The sequence below is a fragment of the Homo sapiens genome, chromosome 5, assembly GCF_000001405.40.
Source record: "Homo sapiens chromosome 5, GRCh38.p14 Primary Assembly".
Classification (NCBI taxonomy): Eukaryota; Metazoa; Chordata; class Mammalia; order Primates; family Hominidae; genus Homo; species Homo sapiens.
In genome coordinates this window covers 85,760,148-85,763,550 of record NC_000005.10, presented here as the reverse complement: position 1 = coordinate 85,763,550, position 3,403 = coordinate 85,760,148, and the positions used below count along the sequence as shown (strand labels likewise).

The 3,403-nt window shown below is 38.3% G+C and overlaps 1 pseudogene; it reads right to left on the bottom strand.

Moving 5' to 3' along the window:
• RPS2P25 (ribosomal protein S2 pseudogene 25) lies at nucleotides 285–1,052 on the bottom strand (annotated as a pseudogene).

The following is a 3,403-nucleotide window of genomic DNA, read 5'->3' as shown; positions in this document are numbered from 1 at the left end:
TTCTCATAACTTAAATAATATCATTTTTGCTCTTAATAATAAAACTTTAACTTCTAGCTTCATAATCTCATCATAGAGCTTCTAAAAAATCTATAAAATAAATATGTACTGATTTGTTTTGACACATTGTGCTTGACATCACATTTATTTCTCAGTTAAGTTTCAAACAACTTTTTGAAGTAATTCTCATTATTTCATTATTTCATTATTTATTTATTTATTTATTTTTGTATAAAAGTGCTACAAGGCGGCTACAGCTAGAACCTGACTAGGTTCTTTGGCCTGGAGACTCTGGTGTTGGTCTTTACAATACAGGCAGTTAATTCCTGACAGGGAGACTTAGTGAATATGGTCTCCTTCCGTGGGTTGGATAGTGAGATAACTCTAGGTCTTCGAGATGTCATCAAAGGTGGCCTTGATGGAGTTGTCCATGGTGACCAGTGCAGCTCCTGGCCAAGATGTAGCAGTCAACCATAGAGATTATCAGCAGCAGCTTCTGGGTATAGGCCTTAGATGATACTAATTCCCCCAGAGGCAAGGATGGGGTCCACCAGAGAAGCAGAATAGCAGCTGGTCACCTAGCAAGGAGGTGGAGGTGGGGAGTGGGCTTGCTGTTCTTGTTCTCCCAGTAATAACCTTGTCACAAGGGGATAATGGAGACCCTAGGCAGGATAATGGCTTTATGGAGAGGGGTGGTACCTCCATGGATCACTGAACACAAAGGTCAATGTGGCCATTATAGTCTCCAATGGCAACAAATGCTTTGAACCTGGTCTACTGGCCAATGAGGATCTACTTTTGCAGGACATAATCTTTAAAACCTCATCCTTAACGGATGCCACCGGAAAAGAGTCAATGACCTCAGACTTCTTGATGAGCAGAGAGAAGAGATAGATAACCTCCAAAGACTTGCTCTTCATGTCCTTGACCAGGCAGCCCACGATGGTGACCAGGAGCCACTCTTTGTTCTTGGCATTGCCTCTACCCGGGCTAGACCACCACCATGATCCTAGCCCCAGAGTCCAGTCAAAGCCTCAGTGAAAGCCGGCCCAGTCTCTCATTCTAAGGCCCCTGCCAGCATGGTTTATTATTTGATGTTTTCTCAAAAAGGATGTTTCAGTATTTGTTATTATTATTATTATTATTATTATTATTATAATACTTTAAGTTTTAGGGTACATGTGCACAATGTGCAGGTTTGTTACATATGTATACATGTGCCATGTTGGTGTGCTGCACCCATTAACTCGTCATTTAGCATTAGGTATATCTCCTAATGCTATCCCTCCCTGCCCACCACCCCCCCCCACAACAGTCCCCAGAGTGTGATGTTCCCCTTCCTGTGTCCATGTGTTCTCATTGTTCAATTCCCACCTATGAGTGAGAACATGTGGTGTTTGGGTTTTGTCCTTGCTATAGTTTGCTGAGAATGATGGTTTCCAGTTTCATCCATGTCCCTACAAAGGACATGAACACTTACTTCATTTTTTATGGCTGCATAGTATTCCATGGTGTATATGTGCCACATTTTCTTAATCCAGTCTATCATTGTTGGACATTTGGGTTGGTTCCAAGTCAAGATGGATTAAAGACTTACATGTTAGACCTAAAACCATAAAAACCCTAGAAGAAAACCTAGGCAATCATTCAGGACATAGGCATGGGCAAGGACTTCATGTCTAAAACACCAAAAGCAATGGCAACAAAAGCCAAAATTGACAAATGGGATCTAATTAAACTAAAGAGCTTCTGCACAGCAAAAGAAACTACCATCAGAGTGAACAGGCAACCTACAAAATGGGAGAAAATTTTTGCAACCTACTCATCTGACAAAGGGCTAATATCCAGAATCTACAATGAACTCAAACAAATTTACAAGAAAAAAACAAACAACCCCATCAAAACGTGGGTGAAGGATATGAACAGGCACTTCTCAAAAGAAGACATTTATGCAGCCGAAAAACACATGAAAAATGCTCATCATCACTGGCCATCAGAGAAATGCAAATCAAAAACACAATGAGATACCATCTCACACCAGTTTGAATGGCGATCATTAAAAAGTATTTGTTTTTAAAAGGAGAAAGCAGCAGTACAGGAAAATTATGGAAATTAACTCAGAAAGCAGCTAGAAAAGAGCTGAACTCTGACAGGAAGTCTGAGTCCAAAGCCTTGTTCATTAACTCATCTCCTAGATTTCATTAAAATGTATACATACTGCTTACTTCAACATGCATGACTCATGATTCTGCACTCAAAAGTAAAAGATCCACATGTATACTATCTTCTGCTCCTCTTCAAACTTTAAAACTTTTTTCCAAGTTTTAAAGTTATAATTTTTTTTTGTCTGGTAAATGGCATCATAATCTACCCAAAAGCCCAAAGCCTCAAACCTGGGAATGTATTAGACTCTCTTTCTCTCTCAGTTCCTTTACAGTAACTTATCAAATCTTTTTAACCTAACAATCTATAAGTCTCTCAAATCTGAGCCCTTTTCACATTTTATCCTATGTCAGAAAAATATCACTTTTTAAAATTTCTGCATGAGCTTCCCAAATTTTCTACCTCGCTCTATTTTATTCTCCAACCCAATCTTATCATACATATATCAACAATAACAGCCAGAGTGCTAACTTTAAATTTTAAATTGGAATGCATATTTCCATACCTAAAATAATTCCATGATGCTCTCTTACCTTTAGGATAAAATCCAAAATTGAACATAGAAATTCCAAAGCTTTTCTCTGCCTGCTTCTTTAGTTTCACTCTTAGCACCAATCCTCTTGCCTTCAGAGTTGTTATTGTGATTCATCTTGCCAGCGTGAGATCCTTGTTTTTGTCTCTGGTTTTGCATGTTCTTCTCCCTCTAGAAACCATCTTGCTTCCTTCTTTCCTCTGCTAATTTCTACTTTGCATTCAGATTTTAGTGTATCCTTCATTTGTGGAATTACATGAAATCCCACAGCTATCTGTTTCTAAAATATTTGATTCTCTAACACCATGTCTGCTTTACTCAGAGTTGGAGCCCCAATGCCTGACATGGTGTGTGTGAAATAGTAAACAACGCTTACATGATAAGTGAATGTCTATATTGTTTATACATTTTCTTTTCTCTTTATTTGGTTTTCTTGATATTTTCAAGCTTAGTGTAATAAGGGCATTTGTATACTGGACTTTTGGATCCTAAGCCAAAAAGCAACATCTTCATCTTTCAGTGCCCTGATTTTTTTCTCTTGGAAACTAAGATCATGATAGTTAAATTATCCTTGTAGAAAGGTGCAATTTTAGCCAGCCCTAGCTCCTAACATTTACTCTTTTCAGTTAAACATTTTGGAGTGGAATCAGGAGGTGTTTGCTTTGTAATAAAATGTGTAAAATTCACTAACCCAAAGTCCAACTGCAT